Source organism: Homo sapiens, chromosome 14 (assembly GCF_000001405.40).
Source record: "Homo sapiens chromosome 14, GRCh38.p14 Primary Assembly".
Taxonomy (NCBI): Eukaryota; Metazoa; Chordata; class Mammalia; order Primates; family Hominidae; genus Homo; species Homo sapiens.
This window is the reverse complement of record NC_000014.9, coordinates 40575071-40594866: the sequence shown is the minus strand read 5'-3', so window position 1 is coordinate 40594866 and position 19796 is coordinate 40575071. Positions and strand designations below refer to the sequence as shown.

Sequence of the window (19796 nt, the reverse complement as noted above, 5' to 3'; positions counted from 1 at the left end):
GAGAAGCATAACCAAAGCCCAGTTAATTTGTAATCTGATGAAAGGTGAGTTTTTGTGAGGAGCTTGGAGGTAGAATGTTGTGCAATCTGATTTGGGATTAAAACCCAGTTGTTGCTCTTCTCACTATTTCCTCACAGAATACCATGCCCTCTGTCTTAGTTCAGAATGCTACATGGACTATCATATACTTGGTGCATTATAAACAACAGAAATCTATTTCTTACAGTTATGAAGGCTGGAAGTCTGGGATTAGTAGGCCAGTGTAGTCCGGTTCTGTTGAGAGCCCTTCTCTGGGTTGCAGAGGGCCGACTTCCTGATGCATCTTCATGTGACAGGAAGAGAGCTAGGGAGCTCATTTTTATAACGGCACTAATCCTATTCATGAAAACACTACCCCCATTACCTAATCTTCTTCCAAGGGTCCCACTTCCTAATACCATCACATTGAGGGTTAGCATTTCAACATGAATTTTGGGAGGACACATTCAGTTAATCATTCTCTCACAGGCCTAAGACCCAGCCAATATTAAGTTTTTATTTTCTTCCTGGGCATGATTCTAAGTGCATGCATCCAGGAGACCTTGAGATATAGAAAGCTGATTAACAGCAGGATCCAGTTGTCCCTGGTTGCCATAATTACAGGCAATAATTATAGATTTTCTTTATCTGTGCTTTTCAATATGGTAGCCATCGGTGACATGTAGCTTAGCGAAAACTTGAAATGTGGCTAGTGTGACAGAGGAAGGAATTTCTGGTTTCATATTATTTTAATCAATACTCATTTAATTTTAGATAGCCACATGTTGCTAGTGGCTATTGTATTGGTCTTTGAGCATCTGAGGCAATGCTGTGCTGTCCCACTGTTACTGATAGAAACTTCGTAGTGCATTCATTCAGTACACTGCACACAAAGTTTGGTAAGAGCACAGACACAAAGGTTCAAACTGAGTTCAAATACAGCTCAATCAAGAAGGAAGGTCTCTCATCAGGAGTCAGATTCAGATATTCCTATGTCCCCTGGCCAAAAACTTTGCCAATGTTAGTCATTATCTCTAATAATTATTGGTTAAGAATATAGGAGATTTATTGCATATAGAATATGGAAGATGTATTGTTTATATACACACATGTGCATTCGTATAAAATGTTGGTAACATTGTTTTTGTAGAAAATATTAATTTCTTTTCAAGTAAAAGCATCCTTTATCTCAGGAAATGTGCTAATTACATAGATGCAATGTGTGTATTTTAAGATATATATATAGAGAGAGAGAGAGAAGGAGGGAAAGAGAGAAAGAGGAATTAATTGTGATAGCCTAAATTTGAGTTCTGAGTAGGTTTATGAAAGTCTACATTCGAAGTATAAAAAAAGGCACAAAAGTCACCCCGAAATCCTCTAATTTTCTCATTCATGCAGTAAAATTAGGAAGTAATTTGCATATTTTAGTGGCCTACAACAGTGCTAAGGTCCTTATTATTATTACCTTAAGCTGAAGAATATTATATTCCAATTACACATTTTTCCCATAAAGGGAATTTTGATCTTGCAGGTAAAAATAATTGCGGTGAGGTGACAAATTTTTTTGGAAAAAATCAGATAATCATTCCTAGCATCACCATCTATTGCTCAGGGCCTAATGCATACTTTTCAGTATGACCATATATCTTAATGGCTTCAACAACAAACTTTATTTTTCTCTTGCAGTTCTGTTTACCAAATGTTGTTCAGCTGTGCCTAACAGATTCAGTTGATATTGACTGAGTTTCCGGACTTCACTCTAGGCTAAAGTTTAGTTTAAGTCAACTTAATTTCTTTCTGCATTCTGAGATCAATAGCTACTTGGGCATGCTCTTATCATGGTGGGAGATGCGATTGCAAGAGCTCAAACCGACCCACACAAGCATATCTGTAACCTCTATTCATACAGTAGTCACAAAGAGTAAATCACATACGTAAAGATGGCATCATTTCAGTGAGAAAGTACCCTCTTCCAGTGGCAGGTGGGGAAGAAGGAAATTTGCTGAATATTAATACATTCTACGACATTTACTGGTTGTCACATCTTCTAAGGGTTGAAGCCACATACTCCTGCCAAACCAAAGGTCAAAAACTGTGAAGAATCTGATGTATGTAAGCAAGTAACTTAGCCTGCTACAATTTAACAGAAGCTAGAAGACTACACCAGACTCCTGGATCAGAGGCAAAAGGCTTCATTACTTACAACATAGCAAGCAGAATTATCTTCATGTTCTCATATGTTCCACATCTGCTGCACAAATGGTGAGTTTATGTTGCAACTGAAGAACCTGAAGCTTCAGAAACCCACAGTTTTTTTAAAATTATACTTTAAGTTCTGGGGTACTTGTGCAGATCTTGCAGGCTTGTTACATATGTATACATGTGCCATGGTGGTTTGCTGCACTTATCAACCCATCATCTACATTAGGTATTTCTCCTAATGCTATCCCTTTCCCAGCCCCCCACCTCCCGACAGGCCCGGTGTGTAATGTTCCCCCCTGCCCCCACATGTCCATGTGTTCTTGTTGTTCAACTCCCACTTATGAGTGAGAACATGCAGTGTTTGGTTTTCTGTTCCTGTGTTAGTTTGCTGAGAATGATGGTTTCCAGCTTCATCCATGTCCCTGCAAAGGACATGAACTCATCCTTTTTTATGGCTGCACAGTATTCCATGGTGTGTATGTGCCACATTTTCTTTATTCAGTCTATCATTGATGGGCATTTGGGTTGGTTCCAAGTCTTTGCTATTGTGAACAGTGCCACAATAAACATATGTGTGCATGTGTCTTTGTAGTAGAATGATTTATAATCCTTTGATTATATACCCAGTAATGGGACTGCTGGGTCAAATGGTATTTCCAGTTCTAGATCCCTGAGGAATCACCACACATTGTCTTCCACAATTGTTGAAATAATTTAACTCCCACCAACAGTGTAAAAGCATTCCTATTTCTCCACATCCTCTCCAGCATCTGTTGCAGAAACCCCCAGTTTTTTAAGGCAGCGGTCACTAATGTTTTTGACACCAGGGACCAGTTTCATGGAAGACAATTTTTCCACAGACTGGAAGCTGAGAGAGAGGGATATTTTCAGAATAAAACTGTTCCACCTCAGATCGTCAGGCATTAGTTAGATTCTCATAAGGAGCATGCAAACTAGGTCCCTCACATACACAGTTCACAATAGGGTTTGCACTCCTATGAGAATCTAATGCTGCCCTAATCTGACAGGAGGCACAGCTCAGGCAGCAGTTCTAACTGGCCTGCTGCTCACCTCCTGCTGTGTGACCTGGTTCCTAACAGGCCACAAATCAATACTGGTCCACAGCCTGTAGGTTGGGGACCCCTGTTTTAAGGGAACTACTAGCAAACCTGACTAAATTTTGCCTGACAGGGAGACATTATCCTCTTCTAGTCAGGAAACAAATGTATGACCTGTTCCAAAGGCAAGCACTATATTTATCCTTCAAAAGTGTATGCTGTGTGAATATGTTTGAGAAGATATTCCAGAACAAAAATTGATACAAGACATGCACTGGAGATTTTGTGCATGTCATTACACAATGTCATAAACATTGCCATACCCTTCAAAAATGACATGGAGATTTTTCTCTCAATAATGAGGAAATTGAAAGGATTTGTATATGTAGGCCTTATATACATGTCCTTAGAAATATCTGTCAATTTGTTGTCATAGTAATGATATATAACATTGATTGTGAATTACCTAATGGCACTCATGACTGAAAACACTTTTCATTAAGTTAGTGCTCATAATAAACCTATGAAATAGATACGTTATTGTCAATAACAAAAGTGAGTCACCAAACAACAATTCTGAAAAGTAGCACAGCTTAAAAGTGATGGTATTGGGATATGAACTTAAGGTGTCTGGCTCCAGAGTCAGTCATTTGAAACTGCTTTTAATAACAACACTTTTGACACTAAATGTTTGTTATTTTATCTCAGACCAACCATTTCTCCAACCATCTGGACACCAACTAGTTCCCCTAAAATTCAATTCACTTCTGACACTAACCAAAAGTTAGTCGAGACCCCACAGGTCAAGGGCTCAATGTATAAGACTGCCTCCACTGCCGACATCGATCTCTACTCCTGTGCCTCCCGTACTTCTAACTGACCAGCTATAAATTGAAAGTTATCACAGCTCCCTCCCAGGAAGCTCTCTGAATCCTGAATTGTATGGAAGTTTCATTACGTGGGCATGAATGATGAAGTCAGTGGCCATTGATGGTTGACTCAACCTCCCATCCTTCTTCCCTCCCTGGAGATCAGAGAGTGGAGGCAAAGTTTCAACTGTTTAATCATGTTTTGGTCTTTCTGGTGACCAGCCCCCATTCAGAAGCTATCTCAGGCCCACCAAGAGTGGCCTCATGTAAAAAAAAAAAAAAAAGACACCCCTGTCACCCAGGAAATTTCAAAGGTTTTCAGCTCTGTGTCAGGAACAGAGGACAAAGACCAAATTTGCATTTCTTTTTATCAAAGTCTTTATGCTTTAAAGACAAAGCTACTTATCCTTGCCTTCTCTAGAGTATGTTTCCTTTGAACATTTGTACAATCAGCAATGGCTCCCTTAAAACCATGGTTGATTGATATTTATGAAAATTTGCTCTTCAGTCTTGACAGCAAATGACACCCATGTTCAAAAAAAGTCTTCCCAAAAGTTCAATTTGTACTTCTAATATTTCCATTGAAACACAAAGTATGCTTCTCAGAGGATACTTTTACAGAAGTAAGGAAAAATATAAAACATTCTACCAATAACAACAAACAGGGCAGGTAATATTAGAGGAACTTTTTATAATTCTTCCTCTGCCAAAATGTCAGTAGGAGTGACCATCTTCCCATGACACAACTTTTATAAAACAACTGCCACACACCATGTCATAGAATTCTTCATTGAGTGACAATTATGTTACTCTGATGTCATTATACTTACACTAGCACCACTCAACTTTACTATAAGCTTTTAAATCAATGAGAAATAACTGAGAGCTAATTTTAATTGTTTGCACACAGCAAACATTAAAGAAATTACTTTAAATCAGGAATCATACCTTATTTCTCACGTACTTTTTCCTCATATCATATTTAGCCTTAGAAAAGAAAGATTTTTATGTTCCATATTTGGTCCTTACAGTTGTCAACACAGTGGCTAAAGATTGACTTTTTTCCATTCTTGTGTATACACAATTTATTTCCACTTTTCTGCTATAAACTCCAAAAATGGATTTATGCACTCAAATATTTGTAATGGGGCACAAAAATATATAGTACTATGTTATCAGAGACCTTAAAAAAAGACAAATAGGACTTGAGCAGTATGAGAGAGATACGCACCTTAGAAAGATATGTAAATTAGAGCTATGGCTCTCCTCTTAAATATATACAAAATAATTTGTGTACCACAGAAAAATAGTGGACCTTCGTTACTTACCTAAAAAAAATATATTGCTTGTCTGAAGAGGAGGATGAAATGAAATGTGTGTTGTTTGATCCATGAAGCTCAGTTCCTTTGAGACCACACCTAATCAAGTAAAAATGTTGGGCAATTCATAAAATAGAATTAACAATTTTTATGGAATTTGTCTGCAAAATACTATGTTTCATTATATGTTAGTTATGTTCTTCAGTGTTTTTTTTCCAATTCATCTTACTTAAAGCATCGTTCCCAAATTTCTGACTTCTAATTGAAAAAATTCCAATACTATGTTTTTCCTATAGAATGACTTCTCAGAGAAATTATCTCCTTTCTCCTTCTACCATACTCTTTTGAGACTAAAACATTACAGCGCCCTTCAAAATATTATATTTAGATTGAATGAATAGTAATCTCATTTTTCCATAGCTTTGGTTTATCATATGTATGAGTAACAGTTGATCAGTTTGGAAGCCAATGGCAGATTTTTCAATTTTGTAATGACACATTTAATATACAACATACGTTTATGTGTATCTGCTACATCTTAAGTAATGTGTTTAGTTATGCTGAAAACAAAAAGGTAACATTAACCAAAAATGCTCTAAACTAAAAATTTTGAACAATTGGCTTTTTTAAATTAATAAAATTAATAAAGTGGTAAATTGAGTGGAATTGCCTCAATAATCAATACAGAGTTTATTAAAGATAAACAAAGTTATATAATTCCATCAGGAACTTGGAGAGTTTTTATTTGCAGAAGTCAAGGAAAGAAAGTGTTTCATGAAGGAAGAACATTATTTTTAACTATTTTTAGATGCTTTTCTTAAGGGAAGCGTTCATAAGGAGTTATAAACGTGTGAACAATTTAGCAATTAATATACTACTTTAAAATTATTTTTATATGCTCTTATTGGGAAGAAAATCTTTCCTGTATTTACAATTATCAAATGTTGCATATTTCTAAACAAATGAGGATATTACTGGGTTTTTTTTTTCTGGCCATATGAATAATTTTGGCACTGTGTATTCACATAAGTTGAAGCACCTACTTTTGCCCATATTATCAGATAATTTTTGTGAGGACAAAGATTTAAAAATACCAAGAAGAGGTTAAAATCAGCACAATATTATTGTCCTTACTGTTAGAACTCTTCTGTACATACTATTATGTGCTAACATACCAGTCAGAGAAATAGCCTTGTGCACAGAAAGTTCATGTTCTAAGTATTACAGTATAGAATTAATCAGTCAGCGGATCGATCATAAGAAGAATAAACCTGCAAGAAGCTATACAGTACTTCCATCCTAAATCTACTTTTCCTTTTAAAGCAACTGAACTTGGCCTCCAGTCACCAAGAAAAGAACTAAATTTATTTCTATACAATAAAAAGATGAAAATACTGTCTACAAAATAAAAGATATGTTCACAAAACAGGGTATGCTGCACTGTATTTGAATTTATATCTAATAAACTATCAGGAAGTTTCTTTTAAAAATTACACTATAATAGAGGAAGGAAATAGTGCATCCTAATCATCAAGGTAAATTTAACTTTCACAGTATATGAATAAAGAATTATTTCATAAAACAGTAAGTGTGCAGATGAAACTCAGTAAATATTTAAAATCACTACTAATATTCACACTAAAAGTTGTATTGTGGCTTACACAATCTTCAGAAGAATGTTTATAAATCAATGTAAAATAAAATAAAGAACAAACAGCAAAATACAGAGTATAACAACTACATATTTATTTTTTCCTAAATATCTTTTATATATCCATAAATATGTCTGCTCAAAAAATCTGAAGATATATTCACTTAATATATATTTTAATTGATGCATACACTATGAAAAACACGGAGGTTAAATGTTCAACTGATTGGTTCTCACAATTGTATACACTTCACATCTATCAATGGAAACAAAGAAATTATGCCAGTCCTCCCAGATAGTTCCTTTATGCCTCTTCCTAGTTAAGCCCCAACCCCCTCACAACAGCAACAACTAGTTGATTTCAATCCTCGTAAATTAGTTTTGCCTGTCTTAGAATTCGTGTAAATGGAATCATACAGTATACTCTCCTTTCTGATTCATTTTATTTTACTCAACATAAACTTTTTGAGATTAAATCTTGTTATTTTGAGTATTAGGAATGTATTTCTTTTTATGTTAGATAAAAGTTATCTTATGAACACACTGAAATGTGCTCATACATTCTTCCTTTGATGAAGATAAGTACTTTTTCTAGCTTTAGGCTACTTTGAACATGGAGTATAAGTTTTCATGTAGGTATATGTTTTATTTCCTCTCGAGTAAATAGGTAGGAGTAGGATTGTTGAGTAAAAACGTAGGCCTTAATGTTGAACTTCATTAAAACCTATGAATTCATTTTCTGAAAACTTGTGCCATTTTATCCTTCCATCATCAATATTTTATTGGTTTTTGTTCCATAGTCTCATCAATATTTTGTTTAGTTTGTGTTTTTTGTTTGTTTTAGGTATTCTATTGAATGTATAGTAGTATCTAAATGTGCTTTTGAATTGGGTTCTTTAATGGCTAATTTTTGAAGCACGTCTTAATAAAGGGACCACTCAAATATTTAAACACTTACAAACTGAATTGTTTGCGAAATAGAGTTATTTATATATTCCAAATGCATATCTTCTTTCATTGAGGTACATGGCAAATAATTATTTCTAGCCTATGTTTTGCTTATTTATTTTGTAAATTTTGTTATTTGGTGAGCTGAGGTTTATTTATATTTATTATAGCTCAATTTATATATATTTTTCTTTTATGGTTATTGCTTCCTAGGTCCTGCCAAAATATTTTTTAACTTCAATTTTACAAAGTAATTTTCTTATGTTTTCTTCTAGAAATGTTGAGTCTCTATCACATTGAAATTTCTGGTCAATTAATAATTAATTTTGTGTATAGAGTGAGGCAGGTAAAAGGTGTTTTATTTTTCACATATTTATCTAACTATTTCAACATCATTTGCTGAAGTGGAATCCCTTTACCATTTAATTGACTTTATGTCTTAAAAAAATTAATTGATCTAATGTGTATGTTCCTGGAATACCAGTTTTTTGTTTCTTTACATTATTTGTATATTATTATGTCAATAGCACTGTGTTCTGACAAAAATGCTTTGAAATGTAAGGTAGTGTAAATATTTCAACTTTGCTTTTCTTTTTCTCAAAATATTTTGTATTATTCTATGTCTTTTGCCTTTCATATAAATTTTAGTATATTCCTGTCCATTTTTACTTTTTAAAACCACTTGAATTAAGGTTGTGATTGTACTAAATATATAGTTCAGTTTGGTAAAAATTGACATCCTAGTAATATCATTTTTTAATATCTACTGATTTTAGGATATCTATTTACTTAATCTTTAACATCTTTGAGTAATGTTTTATCATTTTCCATAAAGTAATTTTTCATACTTTGGATTAGATATTTTTCCTAGGTACTAGATTTTGTCTTGGTGATATTGTAACTAGTATAAATTAAAATACTGTGTTTTTCAATTGTTAATTGATACTATGTAGAAATTTATTTTATTTTTCTATTTCAAAACTGTTATGTCTTTCTACCTTGCTGAACTGGTGTATAAATTCAAGTAATGTTAGGTGGAATCGACAGGATTTTCTACTTATAAAATCCTATTATCTGTGAATAAAAGCAGCTATTCTCTATTCTTCTGCTTTTTAAAAACAATGTCATTATGATATAATTTAATATCACAATGTTCACTCATTTAAGTGCATAAAAGTTTTTAGAATATTTATACAATTGTGCAACCATCACCATAATATAATTTTAACACAAATCTCTTTAAAATTATATGCCTTTTATATATTTTTATTACACTATTGCACTAAGATTTATGGTAAAACACTTATTAGAAGTAGTGAGAACAGACATCCTTGATTTGTACCTGATAATAGGAAAAAAGAGTTTAATCTCTACTATTAAGTATACTATGGGCTGTAGTATTTATTTTTAATATTTTATAAGGTTTTTCATGTATGTATTTTGAGACTTTACATTTCAATAATCTTAAACCTTATCTTTTTAAAACTTTTAAAAATTACTTACCAACTTTAAGAAGAAACTCATTTTGCTCATCTTTTTTAAGATGGGGCTATAATTTTATCATTGACTATAAAAACACAAAAAACAAAACTGCATACAATTATAAACTAAACTTCGTATACAAATTTTTATACCAATGTATGCATAGAAATATATTTAAATAATGTATGATGAAAAGGTAATATTACAGATGGGCCAATAATGGAAAACAAGGGTTCCTTGTCTCTCATAGCACCTAGTTTATAAATTTACAAAAATTGTTTTTAATTATTAAAGAGTACAGTATTTTACTTAATTTGCATCCCTAAACTTTATGTTTATATCACTATGTCTGATCAGCTTTAGGCATTTTCAATTAATTCCCTGATATCTGAGGGTTGGTCAAAAACCATCTCTTTCTTTCATCTTAATAGTATTGTTATGACTTTTAAGTTATTTCATGTTTTTTCTGTAATTACAAAATATTGAATATTTGGTTTTTTATTATTTCTTGAAAGTATATCTGGTCAACTTACTTTGTAAGGTTAATATTTACCTTTTATTTGCTGCCTCCCTTCTCAACTGCAAATGCAGTTATTCCTATTTTTACTTTTACACGGTCAAGTATTTGTTACATCTTTATAAATATCACTAATTTCACAAACATGTAGTGTGCTATGATTGCATTTTTTTCTGATATTTTTTCTGATATTTTGTGTTTCCTGAAATTTTAAATTCTCATTTTAAAAAATTAGAATTAACATATTTATCATCTTCTTAAGTCAGCCTATACTTTCAATGATGATATAAACATCTCTGTACCTCTCTTACTTCTTGATTCTTGTTTCATGGTACACTAAATACTGTTTCTAGCAGAAGCAATTATTTTTGTAATTCATACATATTTCTTATGGATTCCTTTCCCATATTTTGCACCTTCTTCTTCCTTGGTTTACCCTTACATTTTACAAAGAACATCTTTGTGATGGTTAATTTTATGTGTCAACTTGACTGGGAGACAGAGTGTCAGATATTTGGTTATACATTATATCTGAATAGTCTAAGATGTGTTTCTGAAATAGATTAACATTTGAATCAGTAGACTCAGTAGAAAAGATGGCCCTCTCCAATGTGGATTGGCATTATCCAATCCACTGAGGCCCTGAACAGAGCTAAAATGCGGATGAAATGAGAATTCTCTCTTTACCTGAGTTCTTAAGCTGGGACATCAGTCTTCTGTTTTGCACTGGAACTTACACCACTGGTGTTCCTAGTTCTCAGATCTTCAGAGACAGACTGGAACTACACCACCAGCTTTCCAGGGTCTTCAGCTTGCTGGCAGATTGAGGAACTTTTCAGCCTCCATAGTTACGTGAGCCAATTCGTTACAATAAAATTGTGTGTGTGTATGTGTGTGTGTGTGTGTCTGTGTGTGTGTGTATGTCTGTATATGAGACCTATTGGTTATGTTTCTCTAGAGAACTGCAACTAATGCCATCCTTAAGAAATTTTCTAATAGTGTGTGGGTGTGTAGGGGGTAAAATTTCTGAGACCTTTCATGTCTGAAAATGTAATTCATTTTTCCTTACATTTGATTAATAGCTTAGTTGAGTAAAAACCAAAATTAATTTCCTTCAGCCTATTGAATTCATTACATAATTGCATACGAAGTTCCTGAAGATCATTCCTTTTATATTGTCCTTTTTATTTTTTATCTTTTGATACTTTTGGTATTTATTATCGATGTTCTAAAAAGGTACAATGTGTCAATATGCAGGTATAATTTAATTCATTGGGCTAGGTATTTACTGAGTTCATTATAGTCTGATACTCCCATCTTTCCATTTTAGGAATTGCTTTTACTATGTTTGAAAATATCATCACCTTGACATCTGTTCATTTCTACCTAGAAACCATACAAGTCAAAAGTTAGACTTCTTAAACTATATCTTCATGTTTCCTATCTTTGGTTTCATATATTTCTCCCTGTTCTTCCCTCCTTTTAGAGATATTTCATCAACATTAACAATATATTTTACTAGAATTTTAATTTAAAAGAAAATATGTTTATAGATTTATTATTTGTTTTTAATCTATTCTTTACTCATTTACAGATATGATGGTTTCATTACCTACAAGAATATCTTAAGGTTTCTTTATTTTTTAGATTTTCTGTAGATGTTTTAGTGTATTTTAAATTATGTGCTTTATATTCCAAGCATTCATCAAATACCTTGTGATTCTGCTCATAATTAAGAATGAGTTAGTAAAGATGGTGCAAACGTGTTTTTATAAGGCTGGCCAAGAGATCTTCATTTATAATATTTCTATATTATTATTTATGAACTTGGTAGAAATAATATCTTGCCATTATGGACATGAATTATTAATTTTTAAATGGTCAGTTTTCCTTCTATAAGATAAAACAGATAGTAATAAGGATATAAATAAAGAATTTTATGACCATGTTTTCCACAGTCTGCTATTTACATTTTTATTCAAAAATACTAATAAATATTAATGCATACCCAGTCTACATACATGGCTACTGTTAGAGTTTTTAATTATTCACATATACTCTACTTCTGTGGACTCTATATCTCTAAATGCTTAATGTCTTGAGTGCTGCTGCTGTCAGTATACTTCAATGTTTAAAAATGAATTTACATTAAAATGTGATAAAATGTCTGGAACAAAACCTATCTGGTCTAGTCACTAATTTCTAAAAATTTCTAAGTAACAATGACTTTAAAATTACTGAATATTGTTTGTATGCCAGATATGCTTAGTGTTTTATATTGGTTATCTCAGTGTATTTTTTTTGTACTAGAACTGAAGTTAGGAAGTATTATTTTCACTTAATATGCAAAAACTGAATCTTAGGCAGATTATAAAACATGTTCCAGATTATCAAGCAGATGAAAACATCAAAGCAAATTTGGAACACAAGATACCAGTTTCTGCAATTCCTGCTCAAAATAGAATACCACACTATATTAAAATGTATTAAATTCAAGAAACAACTTTTAAATTAACTTATAATTAGTTTTTGATAAAATTATATATGTCATGTGAACTGATAAGGGTATGTAATTCTTAATTTATATGCAATAAAATGTATTTTTAAATGACAAATAGAAAAAATATAAAGCATATTTATTAGTTTTTAATCTTCTCGTTGAAAGTATAATTTTGCATTTAATTATTTTGATTATGAACTCTGTTGACAATCTTTCTGTCATTTATCCATTTTCAAACACATACCAATGAACAACATAAATATAAAGCAATCAAAACATTTTATTTAAAAACAAGAAAGCTATACAGTTACCAAACATGGACTAAATACGTGTTTCTATTACTGAGAAAAAAAAATAATGTGAGATTAAAGTAGTCATAAAAAGAATAGGAATATATTCACAAACTTACATAGAAAAGCCATCAGTTTTTGTTCATTAAAATAATAGTAATAAATTTTGAAAAAGCATTATTAAAAATTTTTTACTCAATCTTGTGCTGAAAACATTCACATTCATAATATCTACTTTTCCATGGAATTGTAAATATATGTATGGAAAAATAAAGCAATGGATCAGTTTAGGAACTGGATGCAGAACACAGTCTTATTGGCATTTTTGATTGCATAACTCCTAGAAGGTTGCTTTAGAGAAGAAAGTTTTCTGCCAGTGATATGTCATGCAGAAAAAGGAAGCTCCCACTGTAAAATGCTCATCCTTTTCTGCATTCATTATATCCTGAGATTGTTGAATTTTTCAGGGTTTAATTTTCCTATTTCCACTCAAACTATGCTCTTTTTGGTCTTGCAGCCACATTAGCAGGCCCAGCTTCACACTCTTCATGCTGGCAGGGAGGTTGAAAATATTGTTGCTAAGCAACTGGATGCGGCACATTGGAACTCTGTTTTTTTCTGATGAAAGTGACAGGAGAAAGATAGCGACATCAATAGCTTTCTGATTTTTTTTTTAACTTAACAGCCGCAGTGAAAAGAGAAGATGATAGGGACAAAGAAAGAAAAAATCAGAGAGAAGATCTGGATATAAAGAAAAGAACTGTGAAAGGGATCCTAAGAGAAGATTTGATTCACATAAATTGATGGAAAAATATTAGAAACAAATCCAAAACATTAATGAGAATCGTGTATGTAGAAACTTTATTTTTTATATAAATTGTATGCGCTACCAAGGAAGAAAACTAAAAATGAAATACAAAGTCTTGATCTTGAAATTGAATGAATTAGTAAATTGAAACTGTTCTAACCTTTTCAGATCCCATCTTTTTTCTCTTATATTATCCTTCCAGATATAATTTCTATCTCAGAATCAGAAAACATATCTGCAGTGAAAATTTTTGGCCTTTAAAATTTACCAGTTAGTACTAAATGAGACCCTAAAGGAATAATGAAAAGGTAATAGGGATAGATAGCTTTGAATCTCTCCAAAGAATTGAAAATCTGCACTCTTACTCAGCTTAATGAAGAGACCATCTAAGCAATACTGTATCAGAAGAAAGAAAAGAGAAGCCTTTGAATGGTTTTGAATAAAATTGGACATGTACTGAACTGCAGAAAATGCAGACATGATAGTGACAATAGATAGATGGCTTTTCTTTCATTTCAACTCGAATGGTTGTAATTTTAAGCCAAAGTTACAAAAAATTGGTGTAAATATCACTAACAGAGAGATAGTAAGAAAATAAAGAGCTACAAATGTATTCATTTACGATGTCTCAGATATTTTTGATTCCAGGTTTAAAATTATGTGTCATTTAACGTCATCTTCAGTTTACTCCTCTGTAAAATGGCAAGAGCATTTAATTTTTAGGGTTTGAGGTTTAGATGAAATAACTTATTAAACATCTACCATATCCCCTGTTTTTCCCTCCGCCAAGAAATATAGTATATTCACTATATATATATCATATAAAGTAAAATACTGGCTATGAAACATGCCCAGTTTTATTACTTTTGAACCTCAGTATTGTTATACACCTAACACTGATGGCTGAGCTAAGCAACTAAGAGGTACTATTGATTGATAATCTCAAGCTATAATTTTTCAATGAAAAAGGTTTTTCCTCTTTCTCCTTTGGAGAAAAAATAGAGAAGATAGGAGGCTGAGCTAAAATTTTCATTTATGAAATACTATATTTGCCAACTCCTCTGCTTTTAAATGTCTGGATTGTACAGGTGGTTTGGGGACTTCATTTATTTTGATTAGTCTAGCTTTATCCTGAAATGGTTATTGGTCCATGTGTATGATAAGGTAAAAGAAAATTAGAATCCTAAGAAAGAAAATAACAAACCACTGATTCCATTCCGATTATCTTTGTGGCTTGTGTTAGCATTGATTGTTTCTTGCCATGATATTGTATGTTCCTGGGACTCCACTGCAACCACTAAATAAAGAGTGAACGGAATTAGGATAATCTGATTCTGGAAGCCAGATACTTTGATTGATGGCTTGTCATACTATTATAAATAAGCAATTTGCCAAACTCTTCTAGTTACAGATTAGAAATATACAATGATCAAAAAGAGAATAGAAATGGGGCTGGTACATGTGGATAAAATAAAACTAGCAGAGTGTGAATCATTTAACATTATTTCTGAAATTATTTATAATTATACAATTCAGTATGCTAACAATTTAGAAATAAGCTTTTAAAAATATTTACTATAACTACAAAAAGAAATCTTGGGCATAGACTCTGTTTTCAGCAGGCTATTATTTTCTGCTTTCTAAATCTGTTTTGTTTCAATTTGTTTTACTTTATGTCGGTAGCTTGTTGATTCTCCCTCCAGCCCCCAAATCCAAGAGCAATGTTTTTTTCATTCATTTAAACACCATTGTGTTTAAACTCATTTAATTATCTTATTCCCTCTAGAAATAGTTACTATCATTAGTAACTACTGATAGATAAGTTGTTAGATAGATAGTTGATATATAAGTTAGATGGATAGATGTTAGATAGATAGTTAGATAGAGAGTTGATAGATAAGTAACTGAGAAAGTAACTCCTCCAAAGTCTCAGTAAAAGGAAAAAAGCCACTTCAAGCATCTGTCTGCCCACCTTCTGCCCAAACACGTTTTTCACCATGCTAAATATCAAGTTAAGGAGGTGCCATAACTTGCATTTTGTGAATATCACACAATTCTTTTTGAATTCTCAATGATGTTTATGTTTGACTTCTATTCATTTCGACTTAATAAAATATTCAAGGGGTTGGGTTAGAATTTTAGCAATACCAATATCAGCTATTTATTTTTTTTAAGTAACTGCTCTATTCTGTTAATTAAGGTTAATATAAGGTCACTTAGTGATAAGGTAAAAAGTGAGAGTGCCTGGCTCTGTACTTGGAACATAGTATGCACTCTATTTTATTCCTGTTTTCCTAAGATACAGTGAATAAAGGGTTTCTTTGCATAAGTTGTTCAAATCTTTGGGATGATGAAGAGGAATGTGCATTAGCATGAGTCCCTAATTTTGAGTAACTGCGTAGTTTGCAAAGGACAATAAAGTTAAATACAAATAAGTAAAAGAGAGTGCTATCAAGTTATAACTCTTAAAAGTATGGAAAACTGAGAATAGAGATCTGGGAGGATGGTGGAAAATGATGAAGGGAGGTCTTTATGGAAGAAGCCAAAATGAATTGAAATTTTATAGCTGAGTATTTACTACCGAAATTCCTTTCATAAATGCTTGCTTGCCTTTCTTCCCTCCCTGATTTCTTACTTCTTTTCCTTCTTTGCTTTGCCTTTCTTTCCATCCACTTATCCTTTGGGTTTCTGGTATATCACATTATGTCAGATACATTCTTAGGTGACCCCAATATGTTATAAACTATGTGATCCCCTCTTCTGAGTACAGCTGGTACCTGTGACTTCCTTCTGGCCAATAGGATAGAGTAGAGGTGAAGAAAGTTTGAAAATTTCATTAAGGTTTCATATCAGTTGATTTTAAGATAAAAAAGGAAAAAAAAAAAGAGGAAGAATTGTCCTGGTTGAGCCTGTCTTAATTGAGGGAAAAATCCTTATAAAGGACTCCTACCTGAGGGCAGAGACTTTCTCAGTTGCTACGTTTGAAGAAACAAGCAACCATGTATTCTACAGACAACATGAGGGAGCTTGGAAGAGTAGCTTTTCCCAGGTGAACCTTAATGAGAATGTACCTTGCCTGACGCGCTATTACAGCACAACGATCCAGTTAAGCTGTGCCAGGATTTGTGACCCGCAGATCTGTGAGACAATAAACTGGTATTTTAAGCTGCTAAATTTGGGATGCTCTGTTACATAGTTACAGAAATTAATATACTTTTAAACAAACCATAGTCTTATCTATGCAACGTACTTCATCTCTCAAACAAATCATTCTTGAACTTTCTGCCTTTCCTCCACCCTCTCTCTCCTCCTCCTCACTCCCCTTCTTTCCCACTCTCATATACACACAAGCAAACAAGAAAAAACACAGATGTCTTAAGTCACATTGGAAACCACATAAATAAGCACTTACTTTAAAATAATCAAACGCTATTTATTTTTATTCCTAAGCTTCAAATTTGTATTACATTTACATTGTTACCTAAAAATCTAACTCACATTTTAGCACTATTTATCTATGTTCATTTTATACCTGGGGAAGAGTTAGAGTTCAAAAATCAAAATTCTCCTGAATCTTAATATTCGAATCATTTTTGAACCTAGCATACACCCCACACAAAGAAAATGTACTTTATCATAATTGGACATGTAATTACTTGCCAAATTAAAAATACATATTTTGTTTATTCTAATTAAAAATAGTGACCAATAAAGGACCATTTGTACCTTTAGTAAAGGCTGAAAGAAGTTTCACAATATAAGTATTTGTTATTCTTTCAGCGTCCTTTTTTAAAGTCGTTTGGTCTCCTTTTCACTCAAGGAGTCCTGGGACTGTGAACTGACTCAAGTCTGAGACTGCACTGGGGCTGTGAGTATTCTGTGTGATTCAGTCAGATTTCTGTTCACTAGGCCTAGAGTTTTCCTGCTTAAACAGATCAATTTGGACTCTGATAGGCTGCCCAACTATTTCAGTTCTAGGAACTCTATTGTCAGCTAGCCAAAGCCAACCACCTCTGAAAGTAAGATTATTCTAAATGCTGCTTTGCTTTGTGAAAGTAAAAGAAGACCAAACAAACGAGAAAAACAAAGCCTGTTTACTCAGAACTTGCTGCAGCAAGAGAGCCACCAACTGTCACTTCCATTTTGGCAGAGATGCAAATACAGGCAGAAGAGTGGAAAAGCTTTATAGTTGCAGAAAGGGAAGACTTCAGATATGCCCTGGTTGGAGGCTATTGGCATGAGGATGCTATAGGGCTAACTAGAAGTGTGGTATCCTATGGGATTGGTTACGGGTGCATAATTGGTTTTCTCTGGTTGGTCCTAAGTTGGAAGCAGGAACAAAAATTAGGGAAGCTGTCAGTTATTGATCAATTCTTGAACATTTTCAGGTTCATTGCTCAAGAATGTATTGTTTAGTTTCCTGGATTATCATTAGCGATAATGAGCTGGCTTCCTGAAAGTCTGATTTACAGCAGGTTGCTTCTTGGGCTGCCTATTACAGATAAGGGGCTGGTTTCCTGGGCAGCTTGCTACAGGTTTTAGATCAGAGTTCTGTTTTTGTATATGATCTGGCCATAGTCCATTTGTATGTTCAGTCTCTTAGCATCATTGTGCCTTATGTTATCTAAGCTCTCTTTTCCTTGATGATTAATTGTTGCCAGTTTGTCTCTGATACTCCAGAATTCCACCATTCCCGTTTTATTTGGGAATCTCAGTGTAATAGCAGATCCCACTGTAATTCTGGGCCTACAAAAAAAGTCACCGCAGAGCTGTTCTAGATTGCTCCGGATGCCTTCATAAATTTCTCACAGCCTTGGTGAAATGAATGCTCTCTAGACCTTCCCAAGGGACATAGTGAGGGGGTATGTTTAGGTCTTCCATGATAAATCCACTCCAGCGTTCCAATCTCCCTATTTCTTTGGATGACTTCCTGAATACCTTCTGAAATTTTAATTTCAACTGTTGCAGGTCAATCTTGAGTGGAGAATTCCATCAACCAGACAAGCAAACTGCTAGAACCATTACCAGCATGGCCACTCTATCCAGAATCTATGCTCATGATCCAATAAATGTATTCTGATTCATCTTATGTTCTTTATACTTTGTTCGCATATCCCCTGGTTTTTGTCACTATAAATTGGCAAAATTATGCAACTCTCTTGTTATATAGCACATCTTCCCAAAGGGCCCATTTTGTCACTCTTCATGACCTGATGGGAATTGAGTCTATGTACAGATTTATAAGTAGGTCTAGAAGCAGGAAAATGTGGTGAAGATAGATTCGGAGGAGGAGTAGCAATTTCCTGTAAGGTAACTACCATTAATGAGACCATTATGGGTTCTTCAGACAAGCTGAGAGTACCCTCCATATGGAAGGGATGGAAGAGCTGCTTCTGCTACCAGAAGTTCAGTGGGACGAAAGAGTTCAAAGTCTAAGATCCATTGAATCAGTGCGTAAGACTGATGTTCCAATGTTCAAGATTTCATTCTTCCCTAATAAATGCTTTAGTTGCAACCAAAGATATGCTGCATGTTTGGGAATATAATTTGCATTATTATTCAGCCACCTGCAAGATTAGATTTTAGATTTTGTTTTCAGAAATCTCACCTTTGTGGCTACAGAAAATAAGTGTTTCTTTTAGAGCAGTCAAAGAGGCTTTTAGGTCCTTTATGTGGACTTTAAAGTGAGAACTTAGCATATTCTTTCCACATGCTCTCTGGTGCATTCATGATGAGACATGCTATAACCCTATATTTGCAAGCATATTCTATAGCAACACATGCTTTGTTACAAAAAAAAAAAATTACCTTCTGTAGGCACTTGCACTATCTACAGTGGGTAATTCACATAACCGTCCTGCCACTGCATGTCATGGACTACCATTAATCACCTTCATCACTGGAAAGAAAGATTTAATACTTTTAAATCTAAACAGATCACTTCCAGAAAATGCAAAATGAATTCAGAGAACGTGTTGCTAAGATTCAGTTCTGTCAGCATCACTCTCAATATCAAATTGTGTATAACTTAGAGTCCAACAAAAGAAGCAAAACCATTCTTATATGTTAGGTGAGAAATGTATTGCAGGGATTTAACATTATGCAATTGTGTCATCTGGTTAAACAAACTCGTT

General features: G+C 33.3%; 1 long non-coding RNA gene across 2 annotated transcripts in view; it reads left to right on the top strand.

The window, feature by feature from the left end:
- Positions 1–18746, top strand: part of LOC105370466 (uncharacterized) — a 53842-nt gene extending 35096 nt beyond the window's left edge. The window contains exon 3 of one of the 2 annotated variants that reach the window (XR_943790.3): positions 18631–18746. This is a non-coding gene — a long non-coding RNA (uncharacterized LOC105370466). Of the gene's footprint in view, positions 1–1704; positions 2804–18630 lie in introns of those variants that run through there. The other variant, XR_943792.3, reaches the window with a different exon arrangement.
- Positions 18747–19796: the final 1050 nt, after the last annotated feature.